This window comes from Homo sapiens, chromosome 15, assembly GCF_000001405.40.
Source record: "Homo sapiens chromosome 15, GRCh38.p14 Primary Assembly".
NCBI classification, from domain to species: Eukaryota; Metazoa; Chordata; class Mammalia; order Primates; family Hominidae; genus Homo; species Homo sapiens.
The window spans coordinates 78,860,167-78,872,522 of NC_000015.10; the positions used below are offsets into that span (position 1 = coordinate 78,860,167).

At 43.9% G+C, this 12,356-nt stretch overlaps 1 long non-coding RNA gene, 1 other non-coding gene and 1 pseudogene across 3 annotated transcripts; 2 read left to right on the forward strand and 1 right to left on the reverse strand.

Annotated features, from left to right (window-relative positions):
- Positions 1-395: 395 nt before the first annotated feature.
- Positions 396-468, forward strand: TRK-CTT1-2 (tRNA-Lys (anticodon CTT) 1-2). Its single transcript has one exon. It is a non-coding gene; the product is annotated as a tRNA-Lys (tRNA).
- Positions 469-696: 228 nt separating this feature from the next.
- LOC124903535 (uncharacterized) lies at positions 697-4,054 on the forward strand. 2 transcript variants are annotated; one of them, XR_007064727.1, is made up of 2 exons: positions 697-734; positions 2,508-4,054. It is a non-coding gene; the product is annotated as an uncharacterized LOC124903535 (long non-coding RNA). The 2 variants fall into 2 exon arrangements; XR_007064726.1 differs by lacking the exon at positions 697-734 and adding an exon at positions 2,162-2,261.
- RPL21P116 (ribosomal protein L21 pseudogene 116) lies at positions 3,046-3,605 on the reverse strand (annotated as a pseudogene).
- Positions 4,055-12,356: the final 8,302 nt, after the last annotated feature.

Genomic DNA, 12,356 nt, shown 5'->3' on the forward strand with positions numbered 1-12,356 from the left:
GAGAACCTCTCTGGTCCCCGCGCTTCAAGGGGTGGGCGCTCTGCCGGCGGGAATCTTTAGGATGAACTGGAAGCACCCCTACACTCACTCCTATTCTCCGGGCTGGAGTCGGCATCGCCTTCCTTGGCCCGCCTTACCTTTAAGGAAACGGAAAGGTGCTGACCACTAGAGGGCTGTTTATACATTTTTATTAAACAACAGAAGTTTGTGCGCACAGAATCAGACATGAAACACAAGTTTTAAAAGTCATGAAAAACTTTACCAAAAAAAAAAAATATATATATATATATATATATAAAATAGAAAAATCATTTAATACGAAATGTAATTCTTAGAACAAATCAAAACAATCTTATTCCTTTGAAAAGATCTAGGAACAACACTTTTCTCTAACTGCCCGGCTAGCTCAGTCGGTAGAGCATGGGACTCTTAATCCCAGGGTCGTGGGTTCGAGCCCCACGTTGGGCGGGTTTGTTTTGCTTTCGTTTGACCAACTTCAGGTCTCATCAACGGTAGTAATTCCACCAGTTTCAGTTGTCATCAACGGTAATAACAGACTTCAGCCCGGATGGTCTTATTTTCAAATAATTCAATACATACAAAACTACCAATACTATTTTAAAAAAGGAACAATGGGCCTGGCACGGTGGCTCACACCTGTAATCCCAACACTTTGGGAGGCCGAGGAGGGTGGATCACGAGATCAGGAGTTTGAGACCAGCCTGGCCAATATGGTGAGACCACCCCACCCCCTGTCCCCCACCCCGTCTCTACTAAAAATACAAAAATTAGTTGGGCGTGGTGGCGCGTGCCTGTAGTCTCAGCTGCTCGGGAGGCTGAGGCAGGAGAATCGGAGGCTGTGGCAGGAGAATCGCTTGAACCCAGGAGGTGGAGGTTGCAGTGAGCTGAGATCCGGCCATTGCACTCCAACATGGGCGACAGGGCAGGACTCCGTCTCAAAAAAAAAAAAAAAAAAAAAAGAACAATGAAACCAGTAAATTTCATCTTGTAAATTACACACTTAAAGGCTATCTGCCCTATAAAAGTATTTGTTGCTGAGTGGCCTGTTTAAAGGGCAGCCGAACGCCAAAGGTTAGGGGATAAGAAGACATTAAAATTCATGAAATTGTAGAGTTCATAATATTGCTGAAGTAATCTGTTAAAACGTTTGAAATGTTTATTTTTTACTTAATATTATGTGATATTGAAGATTAGTTTGGAGAACAATTCTGTATATTTTTAAACCACTATTAAGATTGCTTTAGTGATGAACGAATATGGTGGTTATTGTGAACAGGGTCTTAGAACTTTTTTATCCTTTTTTTTTTTTCTGAGTGCTTCTATGTAGATACCCTTTTTTCTTTTCTTTTTTTTTTTTTCTTTTTTTGAAACAGAGTCTCGCTTTGTCACCCAGGTTGGAGTGCAGTGGCTCAGTCTTGGCTCACTGCAACCTCCACCTCCCGGGTTCAAGCGATTCTCCTGCCTCAACCTCCTGAGCAGCTGGGACTACAGGCGCACATCACCACACCCAGCTAATTTTTGTATTTTAGTAGAGATGGGGTTTCACCATGTTTGTCAGGCTGGTCTTGAACTCCTAACCTTGTCATCCACCTGTCTTGGCCTCTCAAAGTGCTGGGATTACAGGTGTGAGCCACCACGCCTGGCCAGAAGCTCACTTTCTTTGAGCAAAACTATTATATGTTGACAGCTGCAAGTTTTTTCCTCGTCCTAAATATTTTTAGTCATTCCCAGCAATTCTCAAATGTTCTCCACAATTACTATATGTTAGCTCATCAATTCGAAATACAATTTCAGACCTTGTTAGAAAGATATTAAAAAATTTCAGCATCAGAAATGAAGATACCCAGACACCCCCATTATTACAGATGCATAATTAATCTCTACGTGATGTGAGGTGAGGTAAATTTATTTATTTATTTATTTATTTTTTTGCTGAGACAGAGTCTCGTTCTGTTGCCAGGCTGGAGTGCAGTGGTGCGATCTTGGCTCACTGCAACCTCTGCCTCCCGGGTTCAAGCGATTCCCCTGCCTCAGCCTCCTGTGTAGCTGGGACTACAGGCCCGCACCACCACACCCGGCTAGCTTTTTGTATTTTAGTGTAGACGGAGTTTCACCATGTTGGCCAGGATGACCTCGAACTCCTGACCTTGTGATCTGCCTGCCTTGGCCTTCCAAAGTGCTGGAATTACAGGCATAAGCCACTGTGCCCGGCCCGGATTTTTTCCAGAGAAGTAAACCAGGTGGGAAAAAAAGCAAATTGGTAAATTGATGAAAGGTCAATGAAAATGTTATACATTAATTTAAAATAGAAGAGCGGGGTTACTTTTGTCCCCCAAAAATTCATATGTTAAAGTCCTAACCCTCAGAGCCTCAGAATGAGATCTTATTTGGAAAAAGCTCTGTTGCAGATGTAATTAGTTAAGATGAGGTCATACTAGAGTAAGGTGGCCTCCTAATCCATTTTAACTGGTATCTTTATTAAAAAGGGGGAAATTTGGAAAAAGACACACAAACCCAGACACCAACATCTGGAAACCTGGGAGAAAGCCATGTGCAGACGAAGGCAGAAACTGGGGTAATGCTTCTACAAGCTAAGGAACACCAAATGCTCCTGCAAGCTAAGGAACGCCAAAGATTGCCAGCAAACCACCAGAAGCTAGGGGAGAGGAATGGCACAGATTCTTCCTCACAGTCCACAGAAGGAACCAAACCTACCAACACCTTTATATGGGATGTCTAGCCTCTAGAACTGTAAAATAATAAATTTATGTTTGGCAGTCCTGGGAAACTAATACAATCAGTATTCCAGTTGGGAGGTAATTTTGATTTTAAATTTTATTATTTATTATTTTATTATACCTTATATTAAGTAATTGTCATCATCTTCATTCCCAAAAAGTCTATGAGAAACAATAGTTTTTTTTGATGCAGTCCTAAATTAAGGTCAAGTGAGGAAATTAGGATCACTGAGCCTTCAGAAGTAGCATTTTAACAAGCTTAATCTTTTTTTTTTTTTTTTTTTACAGCCCAGAGGTCTTTTATTTATTTATTAACACCTGTTATGCCATGAATTCATAGGGAATAGGTTCCAGCAGCTCAGGCTCCTTCGCATTGGTTCTCACAAAGTGTGCTTCTCTGGGTGGAGCAGGCTGGTGCTTCTGTTGAACCCAGGTACCTTTCTATTTGGCTTCCTTCTTTTTCTGATCATTTTCCTTCATGTGTTTCAGGAAACTATCTCAGCTTTTAGAGTGCTTAATGTGCTCAATACGCACATTAATTCTCTTGGCAAGAATCTTGCCCTTAACTTGTGTGTTTACAACAATGCCAACAGCATGCTGGGGGACATTATAGACTCTTCCAGTTTTGCCATGGTAACACTTGTGGGGCATTCCTTTTTGAACAGTACCCATTCCCTTGATGTCTACAATATCACCTTTCTTATAGATTTGCATATACGTGGCCAAAGCAACAACTCCATGTTTTCTAAAAGGCCTAGAGAACATATATTGGGTGCCTCTCCTCTTTCCCTTTGTGTTCGTCATTTTGGCGAATTACTGGAAGATGGCGGTTCCGGCTGAAAGGAACAAGCTTAATCTTAATGGATATTTTTTCTTATTTTGGCTGATGATTCATTATGTTGAGTAGTGACTTATTACTATTTGTACTAAAAAATGCAAAGATATACAACGTCAAATACATTTTATTCTCCCATGGAACTCATATTTGAAGATGTTATGTTCAATTAATCTATAAATGAACACTTTAAGACAGTGTGCTAATTTAATGCAGTCCAGTTTCTTCAACAAGTAAATGGCAAAAAAAGAGACAGAGATACCTTAATGGAATGAAATGTGTGGACTTTGTTTCCATCTTGATTTGAACCAGTCATAAAGAAACATGTATGAGACAATCAGGGAATCTGAACACAGACTGGGTACTTGAAGATAAGGAGTTATTTGCAATTAAATGCAACAACGTCATTTAGAGATACATACTAAATTGTTTATGAATAAAAAAGACATGATCTCTGGAATCTGTGTATATGCATTTTTCGGGGGAGAGGAATGAAGAGATACCAATGAAACAAGATTGGCCACATGTTAATAACTGTAGAAGCTGAGTGACCCATACAACAGAGTTCATTACACTATCACCTCTGCTATTGTATATGTTTACATTTTTCCATAAATTTAAATATCATTAGATTCTGCAAAAACAAAAGTGTCTTAACCTCTGTAGCTCAGTGATCACACTTAGCATCACTAACAGTGGGACAACCAGATATCATGTGCCTGCTGATGTAATGCAATGAGAACTGCACAGCATCACCTTTAAAATAATCTTGTCAAAACACTCAACTTAGATCTAATCAAGTCTTTAGACCTAACTTTACATTTATAGGAAATGTAAATAACAAGTAACACCGTGAGTAAATAATCAGGTGAACCCAGAATGTCAGACATTCAACAAAGGCCTGGGCTCTTCAGAAAGCAAATACTAATACTAAACAAAGACTAATACCACTACTAATAAAGGCTATGTGTGTGGGGGCAGACTGTATTTGAGCCAAAGGCTTCCCCTCCAGCCCCACTGACAGTCTGGTGAAGCCAATGAATTCTTTTCTCAGAATGTCTTAAATGCATGAAATAAAAAACAGGATCATTAAAAAATAGGTTTTTTTTTTTTTTGAGACGGAGTTTTGCTGTTGTTGCCCAGGCTGCAGTGCAATGGCGCGATCTTGGCTCACCGCAACCTCCGCCTCCCAGGTTCAAGCGATTCTCCTGCCTCAGCCTCCCAAGTAGCTGGGATTACAGGCATGTGTCACCACGCCTGGCTAATTTTGTACTTTTAGTAGAGACGGGGTTTCTCCATGTTGGTCAGGCTGGTCTCAAACTCCTGACCTCAAGTGATCTGCCCGCCTCGGCCTCCCAAAGTGCTGGGATTACAGGTGTGAGCCACCACACCCGGAGAAATATAGTTATCAAAATATTTTAAAGTACAATATGGAATACACATGTTCCATTATTAATGCACTAAATAACAAGATCTAGCAGCAGGTCCAATAACTACAATAGTTTTATTTTATTTATTTATTTAGAGACAGGGTCTTGCTCTGTCACCCAGGCTGGAGTGCAGTGGTACAATCTCAGCTCACGGCAACCTCCACCTCCTGAGTTCAAGCCATTCTCCTGCCTCAGCATCCCGAGTAGCTGGGATTACAGGCATGCACCACCACACCCAGCTAATTTTTGTATTTTTAGTAGAGACGGGATTTCACCATGTTGGCCAGGCTGGTCTTGAACTCCTGACCTCGTGATCCGTCTGCTTCGGCTTCGCAAAGTGCTGGGATTACAAGCGTGAGCCACTGCGCCTGGCCAACTATAATAGTTTTAAAGTAGTGATGAATATAAATGATATTTCTGAGATATTTTCATTAGCCGTAATGTGATATGAAAACTTCTGTAATTTATATTGATGACAAAGCCACAGCTCATAGTATTGTACTTCGTTATCTTCATTTGTAATGGAAGGAAATGCTAAATTTTTTTTTTTTTTTGAGATGGAATCTTGCTCTGTTGCCCAGGCTGGAGTGCAGTGGCGCAATCTCAGCTCACCGGAAGCTCTGCCTCCCAGGTTCACAGCATTCTCCTGCCTCAGCCTCCAGACTAGCTGGGACTACATGCGCCCACCACCACGCCTGGCTAATTTTTGGTATTTTTAGTAGAGATGGAGTTTCACTGTGTTCGCCATGATGGTGATGGTGTTGATCTCCTGACCTTGTGATCCGCCCGCCTCGGCCTCCCAAAGTGCTTGGATTACAGGCATGAGCCACTGTACCCGGCCTAGGAAATGCTAAATTTTAATTAGAATTTGGTGAAAATAAAAATGTAATTTTTGCCTCATCCAACTTCATGGACCCTTTGAATTGTATCCACAGACTCCTAACTTAAGAACTTCTGCTCTACGTTTAAAAAGACAAGAGATTTGGCCAGGCACGGTGGCTCGTGCCTGTAATTCCAGCACTTTGGGAGGCTGGGGGAGGTGGATCACTTGAGGTCAGGAGTTTAAGACCAGCCTGGCCAACGTGGTGAAATCCCGCCTCTACTAAAAATACAAAAATTAGCTGGGCGTGGTGGTGTGTGTCTGTAATCCCAGCTACTCTGAGGCAGAATGGCTTGAACCCAGGAGGCGGAGGTTACAGTGAGCCGAGATTTGAGACTCTGTCTCAAAAAAAAAACAGAACAAACAAACAAAAAAACAAGAGATTGCTCAGTTCTGGGGCATAATTAAAAAAAAAAAAAGAGATTGTAGCCAGGAGTGGTGACTCACACCTGTGACCCCAGCACTTTGGGAGGCTGAGGCGGGCAGATCACCTGAGGTCGGGAGTTCGAGACCAGCCTGACCAACATGGAGAAATCCCATCTCTACTAAAAATACAAAAATTAGCCAGGCATAGTGGCGCATGCCTGTAATCTCAGCTACTCAGGAGGCTGAGGCAGGAGAATTGCTTGAACCCGGGAGGCGAAGGTTGCAGTGAGCCGAGATTGTGCCATTGCACTCCAGCTTGGGTAACAAGAGTGAAGCTCCGTCTCAAAAAAAAAAAAAATTTAACAATCAAATGTAATACATTGTTATTTAATAGGTCTTGTTTTGAAAAAAGGAGGACACAAACAAGCGAGGAAATCTGGAGTGAGTACTGCATAATTTTAGGAAACTATTGTTATTCCCTATTGACATAGGTTTCTAATAGCAACAACTTGAAAGCAGACTGCATGTTATTGTGCTGGATGTGATATGGTATTGTGGCATGTAGAGAATGCTTATTTTGGAAGTACATACTAAAGAAACCAGGTGTGAATGGTTATTATGTGTTTACACACACACACACCCCACATAAATATGTCAATATAAGGCACATCCGGGGAAATGTTCACAGTTGTTTAACGGAGGTGATAAAAAATGTCTTTTTCTTCTTCTTCTTTTTTTTTTTCCTGAGATGGAGTCTTGCTCCGCCGCCCAGGCTGGAGTGCAGTGGCACAATCTCGGCTCACTGCAACCTCTGCCTCCCGGGTTCAAATGATTCTCCTGCCTCAGACTCCTGAGTAGCTGGGACTACAGGCATGTGCCACAGCGCCCGGCTAATTTTTATATTTTTAGTAGAGACGGGGTTTCACCATGTTGGCCAGGCTGGTCTCAAACTCTTGACCTTGTGACCCACCTGCCTTGGCCTCCCAAAGTGTTGGGATTACAGGCGTGAGCCACTGCACCTGGCTAAAATGTATTATTCTTTCTACTTTTCTGTATGTTTGAACTTTTCATAATAAAATCTTTAAAAAGCGACTTTAAAAATATTTTTATTGAGGTATAATGTAGGTTTGTTAAGGTGCATTACTAGTAAGTGTACAGCTTGATGAATTTTTACATGTGTAAAACATGTAACACCATCTAACCACACCAGATTAAGATACAGAACATTTCTGTCACTGTTCTGTAGTTTCCTAGTGCCCATAATTTCTAACACTATTGATAAAGTATATACTCTTTCATGTCTGGTTTCTTTTGTACAACACGAGTTCCTGTTATATTAAAGCCAGTTTTCATGCAGGGCACAGTGGCTCACACCTGTAATCCTGGCACTTTTGGAGGCTGAGGCAGGTGGATGGCCTGAGCTCAGGAGTTCAAGACCAGCCTGGGCAACACGGTGAAACCCCGTCTCTACTAAAATACAAAATGTTAGCTGGGCATGGCAGCGTGCACTTGTAATCCTAGCTACTCGGGAGGCTGAGATAGCAGAATCGCTTGAACCCGGGAGGTGGAGTTTGCAGTGAGCCGAGATCATGCCATTACACTCCAGCCTGGGTGACAGAGCGAGGCTCCACGTCAAAACAAAAACAGGCTGGGCGCAGTGGCTCACGCCTGTAATCCCAGCACTTTGGGAGGCCGAGGCGGGTGGATCATGAGGTCATGAGTTCAAGACCAGCCTGGCCAAGATGGTGAAACCCTGTCTCTACTAAAACTACAAATATTAGCTGGGCATGGTAGCAGGTGCCTGTAATCCCAGCTACTTGGGAGGCTGAGGCAGGAGAATCGCTTGAACCCGGGTGGCGGAGGTTGCGGTGAGCCAAGATCGTGCCACTGCACTCCAGCCTGGGCGACAGGGTGAGACTCCATCTCAAAAAAAACAAACACCAGTTTTCAGAGACTCCATGATGCCATGTTTGTCAAGAATGTGGAAAAACAAGCCTTTTCTTAAATTGCTAGTTGAAATGTAAAATGATGAAACCTTTCACAAGGCAATTTAAAATGCCCACATTCTTTGACCTAGTAATTCTACTTCTTGGGTCCTGAAAAAATAAAAGCAAAGTGCAGAAGGCAGGCATGGTGGCGTGATCTGTATTCCCAGCTACTCTGGAAGCTGAGGCGTGAGGATTGCTTGAGCCTAGGATTCCAGGCTGGACACTCTAGCCAGGACAACATAGCCTGGCTGTGTTGACACGCTACCCTGGACAACATAGTGAGACCCTGTCTCTTAAAAAAAAAAAAGAAAAGAAAAAGCAATGTGCACAAAGATTAGATAAATCTTGAAATATTTATACTATGGTATGTCGAAAGCTATTGAAAATGTGAGGGACTCATGTTTGTAATCCCACCACTTTGGGAGGCAGAGGTGGAAGGATTACTTGAGGCTACGAGTTGGAAACCAGCCCAGTCAACATAGCGAGAGCACATCTCTGCAAAAATAAAAGTATTAGTTGGGTGTGGTGGCATCCACCTGTAGTCCCAGCTACTGGGGAGGCTGAGGCAGGAGGATCACTTGAACCCAGGAGCTGCAAGCTGCAGTGAGCCATGATCATGCCACTGTGCTCCAGCCTGGGAGACAGAACAAGACGCTGTTTCAAAAAAAAAAAAAAAAAAAAGGTGAGATAGGCCTGTATGTAATTTGAACAATCTCCAAGATATATTATTATGTTAAAAAAGAATACAACTGGGCCGGGCGTGGTGGCTCACGCCTGTAATCCCAGCACTTTGGGAGGTTGAGGCGGGCGGATCACAAGGTCAAGAGATCGAGACCATCCTGGCCAACTTGGTGAAACCCTGTCTCTACTAAAAATACAAAACTTAGCCGGGCATGGTGGCGGGCGTCTGTAATCCCAGCTACTTAGGAGGCTGAGGCAGGAGAATCGCTGGAATCCGGGAGGCGGAGGTTGCAGTGAGCCGAGATCTCACCACTGCACTCCAGCCTGGCGAAAGAGCGAGACTCCGTCTCAAAAAAAAAAAAAAAAAAGAATGCAACTGAACAATATGTACAGACCATTTATGGTTAAAAAAAAAAAATGGAGAAAAATGCACACGCCAAATGGTGGGAAGGTAAATGGGGGGAGCGGGGAATAAACATGTTCCTTAAGTTTTGCCCTGTATTTTATATTTCTCAATTGTTGCATCATGAGCCCAAATATTTGAATATTACCTGTGTAATTAACACATAAAGGCAAATAAGTTAACTTCAATACAAAAGAAGAAATAACACAAAGAGGGTTCTAGGATAAAAAAACTCATGGATTCCCAAACAACTCATAACAGTGGGGGAACTGGGCAGATGAGGGGTGGAGGTGGGAAAGAGACTTTCACTATTTTCTTTTTTTTTTTTTTTTTGAGATGGAGCCTCACTCTGTCGCCCAGGCTGGAGTGCAGTGGCGTAATCTCGGCTTACTGCAAGCTCCGCCTCTTGGGTTCATGCCATGCTCCTGCCTCAGCCTCCTGAGTAGCTGGGACTACAGGCGCCCACCACCACGCCCAGCTAATTTTTTATATTTTTAGTAGAGATGGAGTTTCACCGTGTTAGCCAGGATGGTCTTGATCTCCTGACCTCGTGATCCGCCTGCCTTGGCTTCCCAAAGTGCTGGGATTACAGGCGTGAGCCACCGCGCCCGGCCCACTATTTTCATTTTTGTATTTTTAAACGTTTGGATTAAAAAAGTATGTGCAGGCTGGGCGCAGTGGCTCACGTCTGTAATCCCAGCACTTTGAGAGGCCGAGGCGGGTGGATCACCTGAGGTCAGGAGTTCGAGAACAGCCTGGCCAACATGGTGAAACCCCATCCCTACTAAATATACAAAAATTAGCCGGCCATAGTGGTATGCGCCTGTAAACCCAGCTACTTGGGAGGCTGAGGCAGAAGAATCGCTTCAATCTAGGAGGTGGAGGCTGCAGTGAGCTGAGACTGCACCACTGCACTCTAGCCTGGGTGACAGAGTGAGACTTGGTCTCATAACAACAACAACAACAAAAAATTGGCTGGGCGCAGTGGCTCATGCCTGTAATCCCAGCACTTTGGTAGGCCAAGGCAGGAGGATCATAAGGTCAGGAGATCGAGACCATCCTGGCCAACATGGTGAAACCCCATCTCCACTAAGATACAAAAAAGTAGCTGGGCGTGATGGCACACCGAGTCCCAGCAACTCAGGAGGCTGAGGCAGGGGAATCGCTTGAACCCAAGAGGCAGAGGTTGCAGTGAGCTGAGACTGTGCCACTGCACTCCAGCCTGGCTACGGAGCGAGACTGTCTCAAAAAAATAATTTAAAAAAAGTACGTATTTTATATTCAATAAAAAATTTAAAAGTGTACAGGACAGTTTTGGTGGGGTGGGGTCCAAAGAAGCCCTTGTCCCTTTTTACAATTTAGCAATGGTGTCCAAGGGAGTGAATACAGTCATGGGTTCTTAGTTTCTGTTTCTGGTTGGGCCAGTAAAGCCCCTTCCTCATCCCCCTTTTCCACTTATCACTAGAGACTGAAACTAAAAACCATGGCTTCAGGGTGCTAAAAGCCTAAACAAAACAAAACAAAACAACAACAAAATAAGACAGGTTGGACAAGCTTGCGAGAAGTAGTCGTGACAAGATGGTGTATATTCAACTGGAATAAGGAAGGTTTTTGTGGGTTTCTGTTGTCAGAGAAGGGGTTGTGTTAAAAAGACTGAAGGAGAAATGGAAGTCAGATAAATGGAGAGGGGCCCGGAATTGGTGGGGTGTGGAACCCGGGCAGGGGAGGGCTTAGAAAAGCCATGGAGACAGGCTGGGCGCAGTGGCTCACGCCTGTAATCCCAGCACTCTGGGAGGCCGAGGCCAGCGGGTCACCTAAGGTCGGGAGTTCAAGACCAGCCTGACTAACATGAAGAAACCCCATCTCTACAAAAACACAAAAATTAGCCCGGTGTGGTGTCACATGCCTGTAATCCCAGCTACTCGGGAGGCTGAGGCAGGAGAATCGCTTGAACCTGGGAGGCAGAGGTTGCAGTGAGCTGAGATCGCGCCTTTGCACTACAGCCTGGTTAATAAGAGGGAAACTCCGTCTCAGAAAGAAAAAAAAAAAAAAGAAAAGTCATGGAGACAAAGGTTTGCGTAGGAGGATAAAGGTTTACATAGGGGATGCAGGTAGGCTAAGGGCTGTTTGTGGAAGGATTTAAATACCAGGCTAAGGACTTTGAGATTTATCGTCTAAAGTTCATTGAGCACTTATTCATTGTTGGGTACCGCGCTAAGCCCGTATATGTAATTCTCACAATAAACTGACGGAAATGGTGCTATTTTGCAGCTTAGCCAACAAAGTTGTTTTTGAACAGGGAACGACATAAATCCGTTTGTTTAGGCCAGGCACGGTGGCTCACGCCTGTAATCCCAGAACTTTGGAAGGCCAAACCGGGCGGATCACGAGGTCAGGAGTTCCAGACCAGCCTGGCCAACATGGTGAAACCCAGTATCTACTAAAAATACAAAAATTAGCTGGGCGTGGTGGCACATGCCTGTAATCCCAGCTACTCCGGAGGCTGAGGCAGGAGAATCGATTGAACCTGGGAGGCGAAGGCTGCAGTAAGCAGAGATCGCGCCACTGCACTCCAGTCTGGGCAACGGAGCGACACTCCATCTCAGAAAAAAAAAAAAAGGTATAATATTGAAGAAATCCGTTTGTTTAGAGTGACAAGAAGCACAAACAGGGCAGGTACGGAATACAGACGTTGACATATTCACACTAGCCTTTTTCAGAAAGCAGAGCTCCATTATCTCAAAAAGCTAAAGCGTGACTAGTGTTTCCCACGTCATCATCCTCATTTCCGCAAGGCTGGGCTGGAGAAGAGGAGGTAGACCTAGGAGCCAACAAATGGCTATCAATCCCACCAAATAGGCTCCGCAGTGGGGTTGCTAAACAACGAAGCTTCCAGAAGCGGACCCCAGTTCCCACCCTCTTGCTGATCCTAAAGCCTTTCTATGCAAAAACTAGCGGAATGCTATTGAATGTAGGTTTCCGAGCCAGCCCTATTCTCTCCGACTACTTCAACA